Source organism: Homo sapiens, chromosome X (genome assembly GCF_000001405.40).
Source record: "Homo sapiens chromosome X, GRCh38.p14 Primary Assembly".
In the NCBI taxonomy this organism is placed as follows: domain Eukaryota; kingdom Metazoa; phylum Chordata; class Mammalia; order Primates; family Hominidae; genus Homo; species Homo sapiens.
In genome coordinates this window covers 123,663,352-123,690,083 of record NC_000023.11, presented here as the reverse complement: position 1 = coordinate 123,690,083, position 26,732 = coordinate 123,663,352, and the positions used below count along the sequence as shown (strand labels likewise).

Below are 26,732 nucleotides of genomic sequence, written 5' to 3'. Positions count from 1 at the left end.
TCTTGTTTGTTCCTCAAAAGGCATAAAGGCATATGTGTGTGTGTTTGTGTGTGTGTGTGTATGTATGTATATGTAAAAATATATATGTGTGTATATATATATAAATTGCTGTGTGTATTAATGTAGCTGGTGGTAGAGGTAGGGAGCTAGGTTTGTGATCTCTGTAAAGATCACATGATTATCAGTGCTTGGGCTGGACAAAGCTCTTCTAAGATGTTTGCATACAAGACTGCTTATGTTCTACTACAGCTGCCATTAGGGAAACATTTTGGATATTCAAACTTACTGATTATTATTAGAGTCTCACTGTATATGAACTAGTTTAACTGTTACTTAAAACGCTAAGATTTTAAAAATGATTTTCAGCTGGGCATGGTGGCTCATGCTTGCAATCCCAGCACTTTGGGAGGGTAAGGCAGGAGGATCACTTGAGACTAGGAGTTTGAGACCAGCCTGGGCAACATAGTGAGTCCCCATCTCTACAAAAAAGTTAGCCAGGCATGTTGGTTTGCATCTGTAGTCCTGGCCAATTGGGAGGCTGAGATGGGAAGATCACTTGAGCCCAGGAGTGTGAGGTTGCAGTGAGCTATGAATGCACCACTACACTCCAGCGTGGGCAACAGAGCGAGACCCTGTCTCTAAAAATAATAATAAATGAAAATAATTTTCTAAACCTTCAATTGGCTACCTTTTCTATCTTATGGATAAAATTAATTGGACTTACGGCACCTGAGATATGTAATAGAAAACTCATGAGCCAGTTTTTCTTTAATGAAAGATGCAAAGGTGATACCTGTTATAAGTAAAAGTGCACATACCTCTTGTTTCAGATTACTGCCTTAAATTGCACCTAGAAGGAAAGTGGGTAGTTGATAGTAAAGGTCACTGATAGAATAGCCTTGATGAAGTAATGCTGTTAAATAAAACATAATGCTAGTGGTTCACATTTCAGCATACTGAAAATGTAAACTTAAAAGCAATGTGAATGAAGCACTTAAAAGATTTTAATCTAACATGTTGCTGTTCTATTCTTTATTTATGAGTTTTGTGTATGTAGCCTAATGGGTAATTATAAGCCAGCCAGTTTGCCAAAAATTATATTCAGTGTCTCTTTTGTCTTCTGTGATAGAGTGTTAATTCATTTTTATTTAGTGATTTAATTTTTTATATTTAGTTAATGTAGGAGAAGTTACATGATTTGATAATTTGCTAGATCTTACTTCCATAATCTATCATCAGTGTTACAGCAGTGTGAAGGCATTTTTCATCTTTGTTGAGGCTTCCTTGACATACAGTAAAATGCACATATTTAAGATGTGCAATTTGAGTTTTAACATATGTATACATCTGTGAAAACACCACAAACAAGATAGTGCACATTTCTCCCATTCCCCCTCAATTTGCTTCTTCTTGACTCACTGCAGCCTCTGCCTCCCTGGCTCAAGTAATCCTTCCGCCTCAGCCTCCTGAGTAGCTGGGACTACAGGCATGTGCCACCATGCCTGGCTAATTTTTTGTAGTGACAGGGTTTTGCCATGTTGCTGAGGCTGGTCTCAAACATCTGGACTCAAGTGATCTACCTGCCTTGACCTTCCAAAATGCTGAGATTACAGGTGTGAGCTGCCACGCCCGGCCTGATCTGCTTTTTGTTACTGTAGATTAATTTGCTTTTTCTAGAATTTGTCTATAAATGGAATCGTACAGTGTGTACTGTTTTTGTCTGGCTTATTTCATTCAGCATAATTATTTTGTGATTCTTTCATACTGTTACCTGTATCAGTAGTTCTTCCCTTTTTATTGCTGAGTATGTCCACTGTACTTTTCCTTACTCCACTTATCCTATACGGCAAATTGCTTATCCATTTATATGTTGATGGACATTTGAGGAGTATTGTATATTACAGATAAACCTGCCGTGAACATTTGTGTACAAATCTTTGTATTGACATAGACATTTATTTCTCTTGGGTAAATACCTAGGCTGGGTCATATGGTAGGTATAAGTTTAAATTTTAAAGAAACTTGCCAATTTTACAAAGTGGTTGTACCATTTTACATTGCCATCAGCAGCATTTAAGGATCTTAATTGCTATTTTCGAATCACTTTTATATTCATAGGCCATACTTTTTTGAAGTACAGGGGGAGGTAAAAATATTTAGAAGTTTTCTTCCTAGAACTTCAGGGAAACGTCTTTTTGGAGAGTTTATGAAAATATGGAGCTTTTTTTGAGTAAGACATGATCACTGCTTTAGTCCTTCTTTTCCTTAGTTTGAGAAGCGGAAGAAAATGTGTTCTTAAGTTTGGATCTCATAAAAAGAGGGAAAACTTGTATTTGGAGGATTTGGTTTTCTAAGTGATTGCTAAGGTAGTATGAAACGTGAAATGACATTAGTTTTGTAGCATTTAATATAAATAAGTGTGGCGTTAATATAAGTAACTGGAGATATCATCTTACCAAAGGGTTGGGACATACAACCTATGGAAATTACATAGGAATTTTCTTGGGAAAATCCCCTAACTCATCCATAAGGTATAAGTGTTTAGATGTAACATATGTCCCTAAATTTATCACAGTTCTTTTTTCCTCCAGTATTAGAAGAAATCAGTGTTTATTTGTTAGCCCAATGAAGTGGTTAGCTTGCATTTAGGGACTATGTTTAATGAAATATACATATTTTAAAATACTAGAATCTCATTCAGCTTGATGAAAGGCATGTGGGAACTGACGTAAACCAGGAGCCTCCAACTCCCTTGGTATTCTTTGATCTGTTAGGATAAATAGCATACCACTTTTCCCTTTAGAATGCTACTAAAAGCCATGGATATAAATCAGTGGTATATTTTATAGTTCTGTAGTATATGTAAGATAAAATAAAAATGATTTTTAAAATGATGGTCCACTTTTGTGAACCCGGACTTTTAACTGTTTATCAGCATTCCAAATACTTCTGCCTAAAACATTAAAAAAAAACCCCTTTTGTTGCTTAATTTGTAAAATGCATTGTTTGATTTTCGTGTTTTTCCAAGAATTAATAATGTGGACCTGTTTCACTAGCCCGAGTAATCAAGAACTGATGAGGCAAAGTGTGGCATAGAGGAATGTTTATTTGACTGGTATCACTGGTCCTGGACTATACTGACCCAGCTCTGTCATTAACCCGTTCTGTGATTCTGGGAAAGTCACATTCTCATCTGTAAAAATGTGTAGTGGATTTATTTCCCTCTGGGAGAGAGGAAGCAAATTTGTAAAGAAAGTTGTTTTTAAAAACATTTTTATCTTGCTATATGAGTTATTCCTGAAAATTAATGGCTTCACTAGAAATGATGTATAATCATTTTTAAATTTTTGTATGTCTCATCTGTTGCAGGATGCTTTAATCTGGATCCCAATAGAGTTTTGGATGTCATTTTAGAAGTGTTTGAATGCAGGCCAGAACACGATGACTTCTTTATATCTTTGTTAGAATCTTACATGAGTATGTGTGAACCGCAAACACTGTGTCATATTCTTGGGTTCAAATTCAAGTTTTACCAGGTAAAGAAAAACGTGTATGTATGTATATTTAGAGATTGATTTCTTAATCTTGTTTATATAATTTAATTTGTTTTATTTGTAAATGATTGGTCTCATCTCAGGTGTTCTAGCAGAAGAGATAGATAAATGGATAGCTAACAATGCAATGTGATAAGTACTATATTGGTAGTATGAATGATGTGATGTGAAAGCCTAGAGGAAAGAATTATTAAGTTTTGCCTTGGGAGAGGTGGAGTCAGGGAAGACTTTATAGATGTGTCTTTTTTTAAACCTGGTCCTTGAAGGATGAATAGGAGTTCATTAAGGTTTTCTCTGCATGAGTAACGAACAATGTGAGAATCAAGATGTGGCAGTGTGAATATATAGAGATAGAAGGAATGGTTCATAGTCTGATGTGGCTGGGTTGTAAGATGGGAAAAGAAGGGACAGGAAATGAAATTGGGAAGGTATGTGTACTTCAGATTGTCACAGGCTTTGAATACTGTGTTAAGAGTTAGAATCTTATTTTTATTTATTTATTTTTTATTTTGAGATGGGATCTCACCCAGACTAGTCTCAGACTCCTGGTCCGAAGTGAACCTCCCACCTCAGCCTCCCAAGTAGCTGGGACTACAGTCGTGTGCCACTGTGCTTGGATCACGAATTTTGTTTTATAAACAATGGCTATTGGAATTTTTTAGGGATGTGAATAAATATTCAAGGCACATCTTACATCATTCCCTTAAGCCACTAAAATAGCGGTCAAGCTAATCTGTGTCTCTGATTATTTCTACTTCAATCCATCTTTCATATTATTGTTATTGTTGCTTTCTTAAAGAGACCTAACTGAGGCACTTCACTGGTCAAAAACCTTTACTTCTAGGATGAAATTCAAACTTCTAAATGTGGCAGAAATAGCACTTCACAATTTGGCACTGTTCTTTCCGGCCTTATCTTTATAGTTATTTTTTTCTTAAATCTAATATTCTAGTCATATTAAGTGACTAGCCATTTCTTGAACTTAGATATAGATATTGCTATGAACCTTTGTTCCTGTAGTTCCTTATAACTAAGAAACCATTCTTACCCAACCCTCTCACTTCTCCTTTCTTCATCTTGTGAACTCCTATTTATTCTTTAAGAGCAAATGCTGCTTGTTCTGTAAAGGCTTAGCTGACTCTTTACCCATGCAGAATTAGTCACTTCTTAATCTGTATTCTCATAAAACTTGACACATAACTTCTAACACCCATCAGATTATCTTAGAATAAACTGTATCTATCTCCTTTGCCAGACTGTAAACCATATAGGGCAGGTGAATAAACTGTATCTATCTCCTTTGCCAGATTGTAAACCATATAGGGAAGGTTCTATGTTTTACTAATTCCTATGGATTAATTTATTGCCTAGCCTATAGTAAATGCTCACTAATTGTAAACGAGTGATCTATGTTTTAGGAAGACAATTCTCTTGATAGCATGGAGGATTTTAATGTAATAAGGCCTCCATTTACCTTTTGGTATAGCTCTGCTAATTTGTTTACTTGCCTGGGATAGTCAGCTAGTCAGAAAGCATTCATTGAATGTTTATGATTATGCTGTTTGCTAGGCACTGAGGTTACTCTGGTGTAGAGGAGTGTCTGTTTCTATACTCTTGGAGTGTGAGGTCAGGATAATAAGATAATTCCTTTTAGTATTCTTAAATGATATAGTACCTACTGCCTTTGCTCATCTTGTATTTTCTATGATCTGGGATGCTCCAGCAGACAGAAGAGAAAGCAGACGACAGTTTAAAAGCATATAGCTTTTCAATACCAAACAAGAGACATGGTAGGGTTTTTGGGCAGGAGCATAATACCTTTGTTCAAAAATGAGCAGTGGCGGCTGGGTGCAGTGGCTCACGCCTGTAATCCCAGCACTTTGGGAGGCTGAGGCGGGCAGATCACCTGAGGTCAGGAGTTTGAGACCAGCCTGGCCAACATGGCGAAACCCTGCCTCTGCTAAAAATACAAAAAAAAATTAGCCAGGCGTGGTGGCGGGCACCTGTAATCCCCACTACTCGGGAGGCTGAGTCAGGAGAATCTCTTGAACCTGGGAGGTGGAGGTTGCTGTGAGCCGAGATCATGCCACTGCACTCCAGCCTAGGCAATAAGAGTAAAACTCCGTCTCAGAAAGTCCACTCTTGGTATTGGGAAAGAGAGATTCAAGCATTCTGTCAGATTTTAAGAGCCACCATGATTGCTCTGGGCTTGAGTACATGAAGCCAACTGCTTTAGTGACAGGTTGGCTGAAATTTAACTTGTGCATGATTAATTAAAATTTAAATTAGGGCTTTGGAGACTGTGGGTTTGAGAGCATATGACAGTGAATAATGATGACCTGCATAACATCAGGTTAGTTGAATGTGAGTTTTAGAATGAAAATCTTTTTGTATGAAAACATTCCTTATAAATAATGTAACTTTTCTGAGCTGAATTAAAATATACCCGGGGGGGTCAACAGTATTTGAATAATCTTTTTTTTTTTGTAGACAACGACCATTTTTCTTATATAAGAAATACTTACCCAATAAATACTTAATTTAGAAATAACTTGTTCTTGGAATGACTAACCCTCATATTGCTCTATGTAATACCATCCCTTTGTTTCTATTGTTAGAACTGTCTTATGGGCCAGGCGTGGTAGCTTACACCTGTAATTCCAGCATTTTTGGAGGGCGAGGCAGGTGGGTCACCTGAGGTTGGGAGTTTGAGAGCAGCCTGAACAACGTGGAAAAACCTTGTCTCTACTAAAAATACAAAATTAGCCGGGTGTGGTGGCGCATGCCTGTAATCCCAGCTACTCGGGAGGCTGAGGCAGGAGAATTGCTTGAACCCAGGAGGTGTGGAGGTAGCGGTGAGCCGAGATCATGCCATTGCACTCCAGCCTGGGCAACAAGAGCGAAACTCTGTCTCAAAAAAAAAAAAAAAGTCTTGTCATTGTGAGAATCTGCAGTTTTAAGGGCCACTGAGGGTAGGGGAAGAAATGTCAGATATTTTTGAAAAGTTTTGGCCTTGAAGGTAAAGTAAGGAAAGCTATGAAAATCAGGAACTGCTTAGGTGATGTAACCTTGAGAGTTGGCTCCCAAGCATATATGGTCAATCTGTGTATTGGTCCCTGGCCTAATTCCCCCATACCCCTTTCCCATCACTACCTGAAAATGTTCACAATCCTTTTCCCCAACTCATATGTTGACCAGCTGGGTCTTATTTGGATTAATAGGCTTCTTTTTTTTTCCCCTTAATGCTAGTATTATTCTATGATATCAACGACAGTGAGAGGTTGAGCATCCCAAATCCACAAAGCTCCGAAATCCAAAACTTTTTGAGCACTGAATGATGTTCAAAGGAGATGATTGGAGCATTTTGGATTTTGGGTTTTCAGATTTGGGATGCTCAACCAGTATGCAAATATTCCAAAATCTGAAAAAAAATTCCAAAATCTAAAACACTTCTGGTCCCAGGCATTTTAGATGAGGGATACTCAACTTGTACAGTAGAGGATTTGGGGACAGCATGAGAGACAGCACAAAGGACAGGAAGGGAGTACAAGAAAGTGTGAAGGTACCAGAAGACAAACTTGTCTGGAGTTGTCTTGTTACAGGAAAGGAAGAGGAGGTGATAGGTCTCATCCATATTGCCCTTTGATTTCTGGATTCAAAACACAGTAATAGTAGTAATGGTAGTACCATGGTTCAACCCTATTATACATACCCCAAATTCATTCATTTAAGAAATATAGATTGAGAATCTATATTTGTGCAAGGTAGTGTACTAGGTACTGAGGCTATATCTGTAAACAGAAATTCTTACTTTTTTGATGTTTAGATTCTGAGTAAATTATATGTTAGAAAACAATTAATGAGATGGGGAAAAATACAGAGCAAGATAAGATCAGGAGTGGTAGGTTGCAATTTTAACTGGAATAGTGAGAATACTCATTGAAAAGTTGAGATTTAAGCAAAGACATGAAGGATATGAGGATGTAAACTGTATAGATGTCTGAGGAAGAGCCTCTAGGCCAAGGGAACAGTCAATGCAATGGCTCTAAGGTGTGAGCATGCCTGATGTGTTGAAGAACAGTAAGGAGGTCAGTGTGGATGTATCAGAGTGATTGAGTAGAACAGTAGGAGATGAGGTCAGAGATGTGGGGGATGAGATCACAGAGCCAGTGCAAGGTTTTTGATTTTGATACTGAGTGAAGTCAGTGGAGGGTTTTGAGTAGGGTAGTGATGTGATCTAACTTAGCTTTACATTTTGTTTCTCTCTCATTTTATTGTGAACATTTTCAAATGTAGAAAAGAGTGAATAGTATAATGAATACTTATAACCCCATTACTTACAATTAAGTTTATTAACATGTTGCCATATTAAAAATATTAATTTATGTTACAAATATCATGAAAGCTTCTTCCTAAATACTATAGTTTACGGTTTTTAAAAGGAAGGGCATTTTCCTTTTTTTTCTTTTTTTGAATGGAGTTTCACTCCTGTTGCCCAGGCTGGAGCGCATGGCGCAATCTCGGCTCATCGCAACCTCTGCCTCCTGGGTTTAAGCGATTCTCCTGCCTCAGCCTCCTGAGTAGCTGGGATTACAGGTGGCTGCCACCACGCCTGTCTAATTTTGTATTTTTAGTAGAGGTGGGGTTTCTCCATGTTGGTCAGGCTGGTCCCGAATTCCCGACCTCAGGTGATCCTCCAGGATCAATTTCATAACATAATTAGATTACTGTCATATAATAAACCTAGACTGTATTCATATTTTCCAAATTGTCCCCAAAATGCATTTTACACCTGGTATGTTCACATGATGATCTAATCAAAGACCACATGTTGTATTTGATTGTCAAGATTCTTCGTCTCTTTTAATTTAGAATAGTTCCCCACCTTCTCCATTTTTTAATGGCGTTGACTTATTGATGAGACCATTCCTAGAAGACCTCATCTTTTGGATTTATCTAATTGCTTTTTCATCTTATTTGTTCTTTATTTCCTGTATTTGTTCTATACTTGGAGTTAGGTCTAAAGGCAAAATATTTAATGGCAAAAATACTTCATAGATTATGTAACATCTAATGTTCGACTGTCTTTAAATGGTTCAGTAAGTTTGTGATAGTCTGATTCCTCAGTTATACAATGGCATCCCCCCACCCCCCCACCACCTTTCCCTTCAATAACAAATTATCTGCAGGTTGATACTTTGGCAGCCTGGGAATATCCAGTTTCTCATCAACTTTACATTAAATGGTTTAGAATCCATGGATGACCTTTGCTTGAGCCACCTTTCCCTTTAGGGGTTCCAAATTGATGATTTACTAATTTTATCATGCCCTATATATTTATTAGCTGTCATTCTTCTAATAAAGAAGAGTTGTCCCTTACTAACTCAGGCTGTTTGCTTTCCTTGAAATACGGTTCCTACTGGAAAGGCAGGACAAATGATTAATATTTTCCCACTAATTACGAGCTATCAGAGTAAGGAGTTTCTTTAATAGCAGCCTCCAATGGTGACGTGAGTTGGGTGTGTACATGTGTGTCTGTGGTGAGAGAGAGAGAGAGAGAGAGAATGCATGTGTGTGTGTGGTTACTTAGATTTTCAATGGATCAGTCTGATTGTGTGTGGCAGCAGTGGATATTGATGAGATTCTGAATGTATTTGAAGGTAAACCAATAGTGTTTGCTGATGGATTGGATACAGGATGTGAGAAAGTAGAGTTAAGGACTATTCTGAAGTTTTTTGGACTGAGCAGTTAAAAAGATAGTGTTGTCACCAACTTAGGGAAAATTTCAGGTAGATTGGGTTTGGAGTGTTGGGAGGGAGAATTAGGAATTCACTTTGCGCATGTTAAGTTTGAGATGTCTCTTAGACATCCAAGTGTAGATAATCGACATATGGATCTGAAGGGGTGGGTTGCCCCTCCGCACCTGTGGGTGTTTTTCGTTAGGTGGAACGAGAGACTTGGAAAAGGAAGAGACACAGAGACAAAGTATAGAGAAAGAAAAAAAGGGGGCCCAGGGGACCGGCGTTCAGCATACGGAGGATCCATGCCGGCCTCTGAGTTCCCTTAGTATTTATTGATCATTATTGGGTGTTTCTCGGAGAGGGGGATGTGGCGGGATCATAGGATAATAGTGGAGAGAAGGTCAGCAGGTAAACACGTGAACAAAGGTCTCTGCATCATAAACAAGGTAAAGAATTAAGTATTGTGCTTTGGATATGTATACACATAAACATCTCAATGCCTTAAAGAGCAGTATTGCCACCCGCATGTCCCACCTCCAGCCCTAAGGCGGTTTTCCCCTATCTCAGTAGATGGAATATATGATCGGGTTTTACACCGAGACATTCCATTGCCCAGGGAGGAGCAGGAGACAGATGCCTTCCTCTTGTCTCAACTGCAACGAGGCGTTCCTTCCTCTTTTACTAATGCTCTTCAGCACAGACCCTTTACGGGTGTCGGACTGGGGGACGGTCAGGTCTTTCCCTTCCCACGAGGCCATATCTCAGGCTATCACGTGGAGAGAAACCTTGGACAATACCTGGCTTTCCTAGGCAGGGGTCCCTGCAGCCTTCCGCAGTGTTTTGTGTGCAGTGGTTTGTGTCCCTGGGTACTTGAGATTAGGGAGTGGTGATGACTCTTAACAAGCATGCTGCCTTCAAGCATTTGTTTAACAAAGCACACCTTGCACAGCCCTTAATCCATTTAACCCTGAGTTGACACAGCACATGTTTCAGGGAGCACAGGGTTGGGGGTAGGGTTACAGATTAACAGCATCTCAAGGCAGAAGAATTTTTCTTAGTACAGAACAAAATGGAGCCTCCTATGTCTACTTCTTTCTACACAGACGCAGTAACAATCTGATCTCTCTTTCTTTTCCCCACATGGATCTGAGTAAATAATTGGATATACGGACCTGGTGTTCAAGAGAATAGACCAGGCCAGAAATAGAAGTGTGGGCATCAAAAGCATGTAGATGCTATATAAATACATGACATTGGATGAAATCACTAAGGGTTGTATACAGAGAGGCAAGAGAAGAGAACCAAGGACTAAGGCTTGGGGCACTCCAGTGTTAAGGGTCTAGGAGAAGACGAGGAACCAGCAAATAAGGTAGATGAGGAACAACATGTAAAGTAGGAGGAAAAGAGAGAATGTGGCATTTTGGAAGCTAAATAGAGGAAGGAATGATTAACCATCAAATGCCTCTGATAGGTCATTTAAGGACTGAAAATTAACCATTGGAGGGAGGTCAAAACTAGCAGTTTTGGTGGAATTGGGTGATATTAAGAGATAATGGAAAGAGTAGAATTGGAGACAGTGACAATTGACAACTTTATCAAGCAGTTGCTACAAAGGGGTGCAGACCAAATGGGATGGTAGATGGCAAGGGAAGTGGGTTCGAGATTTTTTTAAGATGGGAGAGAGAACGCATTTGTATTCTGATGGGTATGACTGAGTGGAAAGTGGAGAGCTGGTGTTACAGGGGAGAGAGGTGAGAATTATTTGGAGCGGTGTTCTTGAGGATAGAGAAAATGGAGTTTGGTGCTTAAATGGGTGGATTAACTTGATATAGGAGGATAGAGAGTTTATCATAACAGGTATAAAGGCAATATATGTAGATATAGTTGGGTAGGTGTGATTGGGAGTTTGTAGAAGTCTAATTGATCTAATTTTCTTACTGAAGTAGAAAGCAAGGACATCAGCTGAGAGGATGAGAGAGGGAGGTATTGGAGGTTAGGAGAGAAGGTAGGGAAGTACAGTTATGTGCTGCACAATGATGTTTCGGTCAACAATGGACCACATATATGACGGTGGTTGCATAAGATTATAATGAAACAGGAACACGTAGCTGAAGAAGAGGCCCAAGAAAAGGAAACTACAGGAGAAGAACCCCCAAGAAAATTCACAGTAAAGGGTTTAGCAGAAGCTTTTCAGCAAGCTCCTTAAAAAGTTTGAAAACGTGGGCCAGGCACGGTAGCTCACGCCTGTAATACCAGCACTTTGGGAAGCCGAGGTGGGTGGATCACTTGAGGTCAGGAGTTCGAGACCAGCCTGGCCAACATGGAGAAACCCTGTCTCTACCCAAAAACGGAAAAATTAGCTGGGCTTGGTGGTGCAGACCTGTAATCCTGGCTACTAGGGTGGCTGAGGCAGGAGAATCACTTGAACGCGAGAGGTGGAGATTGCAGTGAGCCGAGATCGTGCCACTGCACTGCAGCCTGGGTGACAGAGCAAGACTCCATCTCAAAAAAAAAAAAAAAAGTTTGAAAACATGGACCCCAATGCTGACCAAGGTTTTTATTAATAGAGAGGAATGTACATGGCGCATTGTCTGCTTACAAGCGAATCTGTGATGAAACAAACAAACCAGGCAAACCATCGTGGCATGGACATATTTCTGAAAAGAGTGACACCTCCTCAAGAAGAGCCTCAGGTCCTTCAGGAGGTATTCCAGAAGAAGACATTGTCATCATAGATGACCGCTTCATGAGTGTTATTGCCCCTAAACATCTTCTAGTGGGACAAGATGTGGAGATGGAAGACAGTGATACTGATGATTCTGATCCTGTGTAGGCCTAGGCTCATGTGTGTGTTTGTGTCTTAGTTTTTAACAAACATGTTTAAAAAGCTTAAAAAATCTTTTTTTTTTTTTTTTTTGCGACGGAGTTTTGTTCTCCTTGCCCATGCTGGAGTGCAGTGGCACAATCTTGGCCTCACTGCAGCCTCTGCCTCCTGGGTTCAAGCCATTCTCCTGCCTCAGCCTCCCAAGTAGCTGGGATTACAGGCGCCTGCCACTAAGCCTGGCTAATTTTTTGTATTTTTAGTAGAGATGGAGTTTCACCATATTGGCCAGGCTGGTCTTGAACTCCTGACCTCAGGTGATCCGCCTGCCTCGGCCTCCCAAAGTGCTGGGATTACAGGCGTGAGCCACTGTGCCTGTCCAGCAAATCTTAAAAGTACAAAAAAGCTTATAGAATAAGGATATAAAGAAAACATATTTTTGTACAGCTGTACAATGTGTGTTTTAAGCTAAGCATTATTACAAAAAAGTCAAAAAGTTAAAAAAATATTAAAAAACTTATAAGGTAAGAAAGTTACAGTAACTAAGCTTAATTTATTTTAATTTATTGAAGAAAGAAATATTAAAATAATTTAATGTAACCTAAGTATATAGTGTTTATAAAATATATAGTAGTGTACAGCAATGTCTTAGACCTTCATATTCACTTACTAACTTACCCAGAGCAACTTCTGATCCTGCACACTCCATTCTTGGTGGGTGTCCTACACAGGTGTACCATTTTAAATATTTTATACCGTAATTTTTTTGTTCCTTTTCTGTGTTTAGATAGGTTTAGATACACAAACACTTATCATTGTGTTACAGTTGCCTATAGTATTCAATATAGTAACTTGCTGTACAGGTTTGTAGCCTAGGAGCCATAGAGTATTCCATATAGCCTACATGTGTAGTAGGTTATGTACCATATAGGCTTGTGTAAGTATGCTCTAAAGAGGCATTGAATGTATCTCCGTTGTTAAGTGATACATGATATAGTTGAGTGAATGGCTAAGACAAATGGAACATGATTGTCCAGCAGCATTAAGGGCCCATTTGAGGACAGATACATGAAATTGGCATTATGGAAGGATTGTCATTAGTGGTAATAATAAGATTTAGGATATGGAGTAAGTGGTTAAGATAGGGTATAGAAGATCTTTGGAAGAGAAAGGGTTCAGGAGAACCAAGAGGCTACATGGTAGAAGGCTCACCTACATGTATATGAAAATCTCCAAAAGTTAAGAATTGTAGTCAGAGAGAGTGACAGAGGCTAATATTGTTGCAAAATGAAGGGCAGTAGACTCAAGGATCCATAAATGGCATCAATAGGACATCACTGAAAGTGGCATAGTAGGGAACTCCAGAGCTCTGTCTCGCCACAAAAACAACATAACGAAGTGGAAAAAACTATCAGTCAACTTTGCTGCTGTCTTATTCTTCCCCAGTCCTTTCCCTGGTTGGTGTAAGTTTTTTTTACTATATTCTAGAGCTCTACAAAGTTAATTGAGAGTGCTGTGGCATTTTAAATTGCCTGTCTACTAGCCCCCACACCCAGATCAGTGGTGGCCATGGTGATAGAAGCCCACACTCCTGGTGCAGGTTGCTAATGCTAGAGGGAGCAAAGAATTGTGTTTTTGGGTTTTAATCTGGCTACCTGCTCCCTGAAGGACCCACATAGGGGCCTACTTTTGTATCTTTTGACTGGGAGTATTCTCAGGGCTGGTATGGCTTTTGCCAAAAGCACTTAAAGGCACAATTATTGTCTGTAATGGCCTGGAGCAAGGGACAACAGCTGAGACAAGCAGTAGTGAGACCGAAAAGCCTGAGAAGGAAGACATTAGAAAAAGAGATACATGGGGAAAAAGAGCTTTTTACAAAGTTGTCATATATACCATAAGAAGGTCATGCTTATGCTCAGAGCTGGGCACATGCCCAGAAAAGGCCAACAGAGACCCTAAGCTTTCTCTTCTGGGTCTGAGTAGGCAGGAAGTGAAGACTGAGGCAGAGCTGTGAATGGTCTGGCCAAACTTTGAGGAGTGTTCTAATGCACTCTCTTTTCCCATTTATCCAGGCCTTTAAAAAAACTGTCAATATACTAATTGGTCACTAAGCTAACAGAACATAGATTCAAGTGGCCACACGTGATGAAGAATACAAACTTTACAAAAAAAGTTTATAAAAGTCACTAAACACACACACACAACAATAAATCCACAATAAGCAGCATCAACCAACCTCTGGGTATTTGGGGGTGGAGAAGAATCTAATCTCCATAGTTGCTACATAATATTAAATATGTCCAGTTTTTTTTTTTGTTTTTTTTTGAGGCAGAGTCTCCCTCTGTCACCCAGGCTGAAGTGCAGTGGCACAATCTCGGCTCACTGCAACCTCTGTCTCCAGGTTTCAAGTGATTCTCCTGCCTCAACCTCCTAAGTACAGCTGGGACTACAGGTGCGCACCACCATGCCTGACTAATTTTTGTCTTTATAGTAAAGACAGGGTTTCACCATGTTGGCCAGGCTGGTTTCAAACTCCTGACCTCAGTTGATCTGCCTGCCTCGGCCTCCCAGAGTGCTGGGATTACAGGTGTGAGTCACTGTGCCCAGCCTAGATAAGGAATTGAAATCAATAGTCCTAAAATGCTTTATGAGCTAAAGGAAACCAGGAGTGTGCTGTCTCACCAAATAAATAGAGAACATCCATAAAGAGATAAAAATTATGAAAAGGAACCAAACAAATTCTGGAGTTGAAAAGTACAATAACTGAAATAAGAAATTCACTGTAGAGGTTCAACAGTAGAATTGAGCAGGTAGAAGAAGCCAAGCCAAAGAAAGAACACTGGTTAAAGTAACTCTAGGTAAAATATAAAAGCCAGTACTATTACATTTGTGGTTTGTAAGTCCTCTTTTTTTCCTATATGACTTAAAAGACAAATACATAATAATTATGAATCTTTAAAAAGATAATTTCAACTTTTATTTTAGACTCGGGGTACATGTGCAGGTTTGTTACCTGGGTATATTGTGTGATGCTGAGGTTTGGGGTACAATTCATCCCATCACCCAGGTTATAAATCTGTCAAATGGCACACTATAAAAATGTAATTTGTGACTAACAATAGGTGGGGAGGGGCAGGGATGTATAGGTGCAGAGGTTTTGTACACTATTGAAGTGAAGTTGGTATTAATTCAAACTAGGTTGTTTTAAGTTTAAAATGTTAATTATTATACCCAAAGGAACCACTAAGAAAATAATTAAAAACTAAACAGAAAAAAGAAGGGGATCAAAATGGTGCACACACACAAAATCAAACAAAAAAGGCAGTGATAGAGGAAATGAGGAACAAAAATATGACAGAAAACAGGTAGCAAAATGATAGAAGTTCATCCTTATCTATAATTATTTTGAATGTAAATGGATTAAACCCACCAATTAAAAGGCAAGAGTTTGGCAGAATGTATAAAAAATCATGATCCAGTTACATACTGTGTATAAGGAACTCACTTTGGATTTAGAGATACAAATAGCTTGAAACTGAAAGTATGGAAACATATTCTGTGCAAGCATTATGCTGGAGAGACCTGGGGTGGCTATGCTAATATCAAAGTAGACTTTAAGACAATAAGTTGTTACAAGAGACAATGAAAAACATTATATAATATAAAATGGATAACCCATTGAGAAGATATAACAGTTATAAACATACCTGTACCAAACAACAGAGCCCCAGAGTATTTGAAGCAAACATTGGCAGACTTGAAGGAAACATAGTTGTGTAATTATTGGACATTTCCATACCCTACTTTCATTAATGGTTAGAACAACTAACCATTACTTGACAAAAGATGAGTAAGAAAATAGAACACTTGAACAACGTTATATATATAGAACATTACACACAACAACAGAATCTACATTCTTCTCAAAGCACATGGAACATTCTTTAGAATAGACCATATATTAGGCCACAAAACAAGTCTCAGTTGAAATCATGCAAAATATCATCTCTGACCACAACAGAATGAAACTAGATTGCAACAATAGTGAGGGAGTAGTGAGTGATATGAAATTCAAAGCTGGGTGGATAGAGGGAGAATAGTCTGGAAGCAACAATAACAAGCAAAAAGAAAACTGCCACATCACCTCCAGGCCTGGTAGTGTGAGGCGTCTGAGGAAAACAGCTACCAGTTAACTGCGTTACAATGGCAGGGCTGTTCTCAGGGTGAACCAGGCTCTGTGTGAGCACCACGGTGAAAAGAACCTTTAAATGAGAAATTTGGATATAGGGAATTTTGCTGAGAATGGATCATGAATTCCATATGATTCCGTGGAAGTATTTCAAGGATGTGGAAAGGTATGATGGGACAGAACAGGGATTGTGCATAACAGTATGTGGATGAGAGTGTGGGGCATATTGTGGTGATGTATTTAAACAAGAATGAAGGGAGTAATGAATGTGGCCCTGGTGCATTCAAGTCAGGTAGTGGAGGACAGGTTGTCAATAAGTTAAATAAGCTTTTGTGAGTTTGTTTTGAAACCCTGGCCACAATTCATTTTTATGGGAAAATGTTTTGCTACTAAGTAACCATTTATAAGCATTTATTTTTACATGTTTTTAAAATTATTTTGAGATGGAGTCTCTCTTTGTCGCCCAGGCTGGAGTGCAGTGGCGTGATCTTGGCTCACTGCAACCTCCGCCTCCCGGGCTGAAGTGATTCTCCTGCTTCAGCCTCCCAGGTAGCTGGTATTACAGGTGCCTGCCACCACGCCTGGCTAATTTTTGTATTTTTAGGAGAGACGGGGTTTCATTGTGTTGTCCGGGCTGGTCTCGAACTCCTGACCTCAGGTGATCTGACCACCTTGGCCTTGCAAAGTGTTGGGATTACAGGCGTGAGCCACTGTGCCTGGCCTGTAAGCAAATTAGAATTAGGAAACTATTGTTACATTGAAGACATCTCATCTGTTTTTAAAAAATAGAGTGAAACAATGCCTTCTATAAATGATGCACATTAGTTTGGTTAGCTTTGTATTTTATTTGCATAATATCATAATTGTGGGAGGAACCTCACATACAAAGGTCTCATTTTCAGTATTGACTATAAAAAGAACATAGTGTATTGTTACTGTTTGCTTTTTATTTACATTTGGCCAGTTAGTTATTGCCAGTTATTCTCACTTCACTGTTCCATTCATCTGACCTCAGCAGTGTTAAAATTAGCTTTGAAAATTGATAGCATTCAAAGATTCTTATGTTTCTATGTAGGGTCCTCATGGCTGGCCTGGAATTGACTTTGCCATTCTGTACTTTAAAACATCGATTTATTCATCTGTAATATTTATGTACACCTGTTTTGTGGAGAACATCAGCTGACAGCCAGATATACTTAGCATAAAACCCAAGAAATAAAATTAAAGGAAGAAAAATATAAAGCAAATGCTGATGGTTCTTCTGCACTTGACAGTTTGTCTATCTGCGTCTCCACTAAGAACTAACTTGAAAAAGCAAGTTAAGAAAACACACATGTGTATCAGCCAGGCATGGTGGCTCATGCCTGTAATCTCATCACTTTGGGAGGCTGAGGTGGGAGGATCGCTAGAGCCCAGGAGTTGGAGATCAGCCTGGGCAACATAGTGAGACCCCATCTCTACTAAAAAAAAAAAAAAGCTGGGTGTGGTGGCATATACCTGTAGTTCCAGCTACTCAGGAGGCTGAGGTGGGAGGATCGCTTGAGCCTGAGAGGTCAGGACTGCAGTGAGCCATGACCATGCCACTGCACTCCAGACTGGGTGACAGAGTGAGACCCTGTCTCAAAAAAAACCCTCCAAAACCAAAAAACACACAAAAAAACAGAAAAGAAAACACACATATAAACAGAACTGCAGACTAAATCTTGTGCATTATAAAATCTCACTTATGCTATTCAGCTGTGAGATTTTATTTAAATGTTAACCTGCATTGTAAATTGTGTCCGTTTTTGAAATTGCTTTCCTTGTGTTCTTCAGAAGATGTTCCAATGTGAAAAGGGATGTTGGCATAATAATCCTTGTACTGAATTCAGATATTTGGTAAGATAAGGAAGAGCAGTGAAGCATTTTCTTGGCCTAGAGTATTTGATCTAATTGTTCTTAGTTATTGGTAGGTGAAGGATATTGCTTTAATTGTCCTTTCTGCACTAAATGGAAACTTTTTTTTTTATATTTCTAGGAACCAAATGGCGAGACACCATCATCTTTATACAGAGTTGCAGCAGTACTTCTACAATTTAATCTTATTGATTTAGATGATCTTTATGTACATGTAAGTCAAGTGGGCTGCTAAGAATACTTGATTGTCTGTCCCAAGGGTAGGGAAGAGGAGTAGGTAGCCACATAGCACCCCCAGGATTGGGTTGGTTCGAGGTTCTCAAGTCTCACTCTTTGAAGCCCCAATACATTGTTGATTTGTGTTTACTTTATAAAGTGAATAAATTTAGTTATTTGGCAGTCTATGAAAATTAAATACCTTTTTGGTCACCTTTATGGAGTTTAAGTTTTGGTCACCTTTATGGAGTTTAAGTTTGGATATGAAGTTCAAGTTCTTAACTGTCATCAAGGCATAGCTCATGGGGAGAGAGGCCAAGTTCTAACCAATGTGGTTTTTTAAGCCTTTTTATTATCTACAAATGATGGGAAATATAAAGTTACCTATATACTGCTTCTTTCTCTCTAAAATGTTAATTTTAGGCATTCAGGATGAATGGGGAACTTCATTAGTGTATTTTTATATTTAGTATATTTAAAAAATATTTTTCTTGTGTTATTCGTGTGCACTAAATGACTATTATGCTTTTATTGCTGGACCCAGGATGTAGAAGAGTTCATGATTGTGGCAGATGACCTCTAGTTTAACAAAAATTTAGTCATCAGTTTCAGAATCTAGGCTAATAGTATATAAATTCCTCTTCTATTAGGTTTTGTATTAGGATATCTATTAATTTAAAACAAGTATGTCCAAAGGTGATATCATCTTCACTGCCTTTGAGATCACTTTATTAACATCATTGCCTATTTTTGTATACTGTGGCTACAGAGTTGAGTAAAACTTGGTCTTTACCTTGGAAGCAGTCATACTCTAGGAAGGGAGAAAAAAATTTTGCATTATTTAATAGGTACTCTATTGGAGATATTCACAAAGCTCAGAATAGATAGTGACCATATCTGTCTTGGGGGATTTTGGAAGACTTTCCCAAACTAGTGATGTTGAACTGGGATCTTGATAGACAAGTAGGACCATCTAGGCTGAAATGGTAGAAAACTTTGTAGGTAGAATTAACTGAGTATAAAGGCAGGAGTTGTTGTTGTTGTTGTTTTGAGACAGAGTCTCACTGTTGCCCAGGCTGGAGTGCCGTGGCACTATCTCGGCTCACTGCAGCCTCTGCCTCCTGGGTTCAAGTGATTCTCCTGCCTCAGCCTCCCAAGTAGCTGGGATTACAGGCGCATGCCACCATGCCCAAGTAATTTTTGTATTTTTAGTGGAGATGGGGTTTCACCATGTTGGCCAGGCTGGTCTTGAACTCCTGACCTCAGGTGATTTGCCTGCCTCAGCCTCCCAAAGTGCTGGGATTACAAGCGTGAGCCACCATGCCCAGCCAAGGCAGGAGATTTGAAAGGGCTTTTTTATCCCCTTATGGGACTGTCAGGAAGCTCAGAGTGGTTGGAGCCTAGGGTGGTATATAGGGGGAATGAGGATGGAATAGAGAAAGCTAAACTGTTAACGGCTTAAGTGACATAGTAAGGAATCTGGATTTTTCTCTTGGGAGTGGAGAGCCATATTAGTATTTAAAGGAGAGATGTGATGTAGAAACTGAGAATATGGAAAAGTGGACAGAAAAGGGAAAATTTAAAAACACAGGTATGACTTTAGAGGGAAGTATAGACCGGCATATGTGGAAAGTACAAATTGATGATAGATTTATTACTCATTATGATTGCATTTAGCAGTAAATGTAAGCAGACTGAGTGGTCCTGTTAATATGACAAAGATTGTCAAGTGGAATTAAAAATGAGTTTATTATTTATATGAGAAACAGCTTAAACTTAAGGATAATGAAATGTTGATAGTAAAAGGATGAGAAAATAGATCAGCAAACTTACTGTTGGACAAAATAGACTTTTTGGCAGAAGGAGATAAAGCGGGCTACTTCATAATAACAAGATTGTGCTCACTAGGAAGATAAAACAGTTCTAACTTTACATGTATCTAATGACATATTCTCAAAATACACAGAAATAAAAGTTGAGAGAACTATAAGAAGAAACAGTTTGGCCATTAGAGGGAGTTGTAATTGTCTGGGTAAAAGATAAGGACCTATGGCCGGGCGCAGTGGCTCACACTTCTAATCCCAACACTTTGGGAGGCCAAGGCGGGCAGATCATCTGAGGTCAGGAGTTCGAGACCAGCCTGACCAACATGCTGAAATCCCATCTCTACTAAAAGTACAAAATCACCCTGGGGTGGTGGCACATGCCTGTAATCCCAGCTACTCGAGAGGCTGAGGCAGAATTGCTTGAAGCCGGGAGGCAGAGATTGCGGTGGGCCGAGATCGTGCCATTTCACTCCAGCCTGGGCAACGAGAGCAAAACTGTCTCAAAAAAAAAAAAAAAGTAAAAAATAAAACAAGAGGACCTGTGCCAGGTGTATAAGTACAGCAATACAAATGTGTTTGATTGCCAGGGGAGAACATACAGAATGAGAAAAAGTCTTGCTTACTTCCTTGCACCAGTCCATAGTGACTTTTCTCTCTCCCTCCCTCCTTTTTTTTTTTTTGATAAATGGAATGAAATCTATAATGTTTAATAGTTCATTATTATTTTCATTTACTGTTTACATTAAACCTAGTTAATGGAATAGATTATGCATTTCTAGGGGTCAGGAACACTCCTTTTATAGCTTATCATAGTGACTAGCAGAAACTACTGAGTAATTTGTTGCCTAAAGTTTTCTTTGTGTTAGGGTTATTTTATAAATGTCTTCATTAATCATCTTCCACTCATACAAGGTGACTGTTTGAGATACTTGAGCCTTTTTCATAATGGAGGGTTGACTATGCACATAGTACTTTTTCTTTTGCAATAAATTAGTAACTAGCTTGTGACTTAAATAAGCTCCTAGAAAAAGTGAGATGTCAAGTTACTAATAATTTTTCTACTTGAAATTTTTCATTTAGATGATTTAAATTTATCCCTTTGTGTTATTCAGTAGTTCACCTTTCCCAAATTGGATCCATATTGCAATGCTTTATTTAATTTGGAGTTTAGCCTTTAATGGGGAAATTTGTAATGTTTTTAATGGAACTGCTATATATTTTCTTGGGTAAACTAATAAATTCAACGGAAAACATCACTGTTGTGGTATTACATTACTTTAGGGACTCTGTCAGACAGAAGATGTGAAACTTTGAGCTGCGACTTGATTTTAAAAGGGGTACAGAATTCAGGTACTTCATTCTGTCAAATTATAAGAAAATAACTGAAATTTACTTAGAAGGCAAATGGTCACGAATAAGTTAGACTTCTTATTTATAGTTTTATCAATTGAGAATAGTGTTTCCTTTTTATATGAACAAGTAGTTGGTATTAGCTATTTTATGAAATTTTAATGTACCATTTTTAGCTTCTTCCGGCTGATAATTGCATTATGGATGAACACAAACGAGAAATTGCGGAAGCTAAGCAAATTGTTAGAAAGCTTACGATGGTTGTGTTGTCTTCTGAAAAAATGGATGAGCGAGAGAAAGAAAAGGAAAAAGAAGAGGAGAAAGTAGAGAAAGTATGTAATTCATTCTAGTAAAATTAACACTATCTTCTGGATTTTGAATTATGAAATTTAACTTCTAAATAGTCATTTATGGAAGAATAATTTCTTAGTTTTCATTTTGCTGAAACCTCATTTTCTGGATCATTTGCTACAGTGGTTTTATTTTTAATCTGAATGGCTCCTTTTTAAGAGAAGCTGTCATATTTTTTTTCTTGTATAAATTTCAAAATGTTTTCTAAGTAAAATCACAAGTTGTATTGACTTTAATTGTCCTCTGTGTATTAGTGGCCCTCAAATCCTAAAGAGATTCTCAGAGATGATGAATTCTGGTTTCCTGTGGCACGACATAACATGAAGTAGAACTTAATTCCAAGTCTATAAACTGTAATGCCTGTGTCTGTTTTTTTTTTTAATAAATTTATTATTATTTTTGAGACAGGGTCTCACTCTTTCACCCGGGCTGGAGTGCAGTGGCATGATTACAGCTCATTGCAGCCTTCTACCTCCTGGGCTCAAGTAATTCTCCAGCCTTAGCCTCCTGAGTAGCTGGGACTACAGGCATGCGCCACCACACTTGGCTAATTTTTGTATTTTTTGTAGAGATGGGATTTCGCCATGTTGCCCAGGCTTGTCTCAAACTTCTGAGCTCAAGTGATCTGCCTACCTCAGCCTCCCATGTTCCTGGACTATAGGTGTGAGCCGCTGCGCCTGGCCCTGATGTTTTTTCAATAGCTAAAAATTTTGATTGTACTTGCAGGAATATATTGTTTAATTTCCCATGAATAGCAAATATTTTTGATGTGTTGCTTAGGTCAGTTTTTTAAGTGACAAAGTATTAAGATTTCTTGATGTCTGTATCCTGAGTATCTTAGTTTTGACTATTCATTTTTAGCCACCTGATAACCAAAAACTTGGCTTGTTGGAAGCCTTATTAAAGATTGGTGATTGGCAACATGCACAGAACATTATGGATCAGATGCCTCCATACTATGCAGCTTCACACAAGCTAATAGCCCTTGCTATTTGCAAGCTCATTCATATAACTATTGAGCCTCTCTACCGAAGGTATGTAACTTTATACTTTATTAATCATTGAGGTAGAAATAGCTTAGGACTACAACAAAATGTATATTTATCTTATCTCCTCAAACCAAGCATATATTTTAGTACCTTTTATCAAAAGATAAGAACTATTCACAGAGTGTATCAGTCTGATATATATTAATCAGTGACTTGTCTTCTAACGTCTAGACCAGGGGTTCTAGAATGTGTGCTGCAGTGTAGTCTGAAAACTACAAGTTAGACTTCTAGGTTGGGTTTGTTCCATTGAGAGTTGAAACTCCATTCTTCTGGTTTTGACTTTCCCTCCTTTCAGTGGGTGGGAGGGGCAAAGAATTCCTGAGGTTTTTTCTTAGTGTAATTTTTCTCCATCCTGGCTGAGTGGCTCTGAGTGAGGACATTGCCTCTCTGATTCCCTTACCTTTCCTGGCATATAGGCTGCTGTTCTGGAAATTAGTAGTTTAGCCTCTCTTATCATCCCCAGTTACTATGTCATCTAGTCCTTTAGCTTTCTGCCTACTTGCAGGATACTTAGGAGCAGTATTGATAGCAGCTGTGGCTACAGCCCCATAGATCAGAGCCTGCCTCAAAAGCCTCAGCCTTGTGACTTTTGTGTAGCTGCTGGTTGCTGCCGTCAGTGTCACTTCATGGGCCGTGGACCATGCAGGCTTCTTAGAGAGTGACCCCTGTGACTCCACAGTGGGGCACCTGCTGAGCAGGTGAGAACTCTGGGTATGGTGTCCTAAAGTGACCTTCTTTTATTACATGGCTCACTTTCCCTACGACCACATTCTACATACCCTAGGTTGTGGAATCCAGATTGAGAAATGTCAGTTGACTTGAATCAGTGTTGTTATATCCATATTTTTCTGTTTCATCTTCCAGTGCATCTTAGGTCCATCCCTTGTTGCCCATTCCCATATCCAAGTTCCCGATACCGGCCAAGTTTAAAAACAGATTCAGATGGTGTGTGTTAAATGTTCCTTGAAATCCACACTTCTCTGATTAAGCAGTTAATTTGGAACATTCTCCTCTGAGCTCTGATTTTTTTTTTCTAATGACTGTTGTTTTTATGTGTTTCTACCAGTTGAGAATTATCTGGTGTAATAAAGTTAGGCACAATTGAAATGTAGAAAGCAAATATGAGCAAGAAAAAATTTCACTGATTAAGATAACTTTGTTAAAATGGTAGATATTGTAGTGTGTGTGTATATAGTTATATTTATTATATACTTATTTATTTGTTTATTTATTTATTTTACTTTTTAAAATAGAGTTGGAGTTCCTAAAGGTGCTAAAGGCTCACCTGTTAATGCTTTGCAAAACAAGAGAGCACCAAAACAAGCTGAGAGCTTTGAAGATTTGAGGAGAGACGTGTTCAATATGTTCTGTTACCTTGGTCCTCACCTTTCTCACGATCCCATTTTATTTGCAAAAGTGGTGCGCATAGGCAAGTCATTTATGAAGGAGGTAAGTAAGATTTTTCTTACAAACCTAAATTTTGAAATGAAAATATTCTGAGTATACTTGTGTTATGAGTATCTTTAGAAATAAAAATATGAACCTCATTTAATAAAGGGTTATGTTGAGTGAGGTTTGTGGAAAATTCCAGTGTGTCCTAACCATATGCAGTCAAGTGTTGCTTAATGACAGGTGAGAAATGCATCATTAGGTGATTCGTCATTGTGCAAACATCAGAGAGTGTACTTATACAAGCCTAGATGGTATGACCTACTACATACCTAGACTATATGGTATGGCCCGTTACTCCTAGGCTACAAACCTGTACAGAATGTTCCCGTACTGAATACTGTGGGGAGTTGTAATACACTGTTAAATATTTGTGTATCTGAACATATCTAAACATTTAAAAGGTAATACCTTGCACTAAGATGTTAGGACAGCCATGATATCACTAGGCAATAGGAATTTTTTAGCTCTAATATAATGTTATATGACCCTGGTCATATATGTGGTCCATCAACCGAAACATTGTTAAATGGTGCATAACTGTATATATTAATATAAACCCAAATCTAGCGAGATTATTAGTCAAGTCCCTCACATGGGAAAATATACTTCAGACAAGTGGCTGCTTTTTTAATTCCCTTATGATTAGTGGTTACTTAGCATTCTTTTCCTTCTAGTCATTTTCTTGAGTGTAGTTTTCAATCATTGCTGCTATGTGTAAGAAGTCTTTTCAGCCTCAGACTGTTAAGGACCCATTCTTTTATTTATTTATTCTTTTACTAAGATTTTTATTGAAATAAAACATACATACGGAAAAATACAGCTCAGTGACTTTCCCTAAACTAAGCACCCATATGTCCACTACCCAACTCAAATAGTTTACAGTCCCACCAACAGTGTGAAAGTGTTCCTATTTCTCCACCTCCTCTCCAGCACCTGTTGTTTTCTGACTTTTTAATGATCGCCATTCTAACTGGTGTGAGATGGTATCTCATTGTGGTTTTGATTTGCGTTTCTCTGATGGCCAGTGTTGAGCATTTTTTCATGTGTCTGTTGGCTGCATAAATGTCTTCTTTTGAGAAGTGTCTGTTCATATCCTTCGCCCACTTGTTGATGGGGTTGTTTGTTTTTTCTTCTAAATTTGTTTGAGTTCTTTGTAGATTCTGGATATTAGCCCTTTGTCAGATGAGTAGATTGCAAAAATTTTCTACCATTCTGTAGGTTGCCAGTTCACTCTGATGGTAGTTTCTTTTGCTGTGCAGAAGCTCTTTAGTTAGTTAGATCCCATTTGTCAATTTTGGCTTTTGTTGCCATTGCTTTTTGTGTTTTAGACATGAAGTCCTTGCCCATGCCTATGTCCTGAATGGTATTGCCTAGGTTTTCTTCTAGGGTTTTTATGGTTTTAGGACTAACATTTAAGTCTTTAATCCATCTTTGTGGAAGACAGTGTGGCGATTCCTCAAGGATCTAGAACAAGAAATACCATTTGATCCAGCAATCCCATTACTGGGTATATACCCAAAGAATTATAAATCATGCTGCTATAAAGACACATGCACATGTTTGTTTACTGCGGCACTATTTACAATAGCAAAGACTTGGAACCAACCCAAATGTCCATCAATGATAGACTGGATTAAGAAAATGTGGCACATATATACCATGGAATACTATGCAGTCATAAAAAAGGATGAGTTCATGTCCTTTGCAGGGACATGGATGAAGCTGGAAACCATCACTCTCAGCAAACTCACAAGGACAAAAAACCAAACACCGCATGTTCTCACTCATAGGTGGGAATTGAACAAGGAGAACACTTGGACACAGGAAGGGGAACTTCACACACCGGGGCCTGTTGTGGGGTGTGGGGAGAGGGGAGGGATAGCATCAGGAAATATACCTAATGTAAATGACTAGTTAATGGGTGCAGCACACCAACATGGCACATGTATACATATGTAACCAACCTGCACATTGTGCACATGTACCCTAGAACTTGAAGTATAAAAAAAAAAAAACAGAATAGTACCTGCAACCTAGAGTCTTTCTCATGCTGCATTCTAGTTACTATCCTAACCATAACCATTTATGCTTTTTTTTTTTAAAAAAATCAGCTTTGAGGTATAATTTAAATACAGTAAACTTCTACAATTTTATGAGTTTTGACAAATGCATACAGTTGTATGTTCACCACCACAATCATGATATAGAAGTTCCCTCCTTCCATTGCTGTTCCTGGCAACCTCTGATAGGCTTTCCATCACTATAGTTTTGCTTTTTCTACATCTTA

At 38.6% G+C, this 26,732-nt stretch overlaps 1 protein-coding gene across 19 annotated transcripts in view, besides 1 other annotated feature; it reads left to right on the top strand.

Moving 5' to 3' along the window:
* THOC2 (THO complex subunit 2) overlaps nucleotides 1-26,732 on the top strand; it is a 132,484-nt gene that overhangs the window by 42,969 nt on the left and 62,783 nt on the right. For 17 of the 19 annotated variants that reach the window (XR_007068195.1, NM_001081550.2, NM_001441236.1 and 14 more), the window contains exons 8-12: nucleotides 3,370-3,536; nucleotides 18,323-18,415; nucleotides 21,770-21,925; nucleotides 22,806-22,978; nucleotides 24,247-24,442. Coding sequence is in view for 18 of the 19 variants with exons in the window: in NM_001081550.2 (NP_001075019.1) it covers nucleotides 3,370-3,536; nucleotides 18,323-18,415; nucleotides 21,770-21,925; nucleotides 22,806-22,978; nucleotides 24,247-24,442 (785 nt within the window). In the remaining variant the exon portion in view is untranslated. Of the gene's footprint in view, nucleotides 1-3,369; nucleotides 3,537-3,556; nucleotides 12,001-18,322; nucleotides 18,416-21,769; nucleotides 21,926-22,805; nucleotides 22,979-24,246; nucleotides 24,443-26,732 lie in introns of those variants that run through there. The other 2 variants (XM_047442278.1, XM_047442277.1) reach the window with 1 other exon arrangement.
* Nucleotides 9,410-10,055: an enhancer, noted in NCBI's record as "NANOG-H3K27ac hESC enhancer chrX:122813879-122814524 (GRCh37/hg19 assembly coordinates)". NCBI's record gives its function as "activates a minimal SCP1, AML or CMV promoter by ChIP-STARR-seq in primed H9 embryonic stem cells {active_cell/tissue: H9 hESC(primed)}" and the evidence as "EXISTENCE:reporter gene assay evidence [ECO:0000049][PMID:30033119]".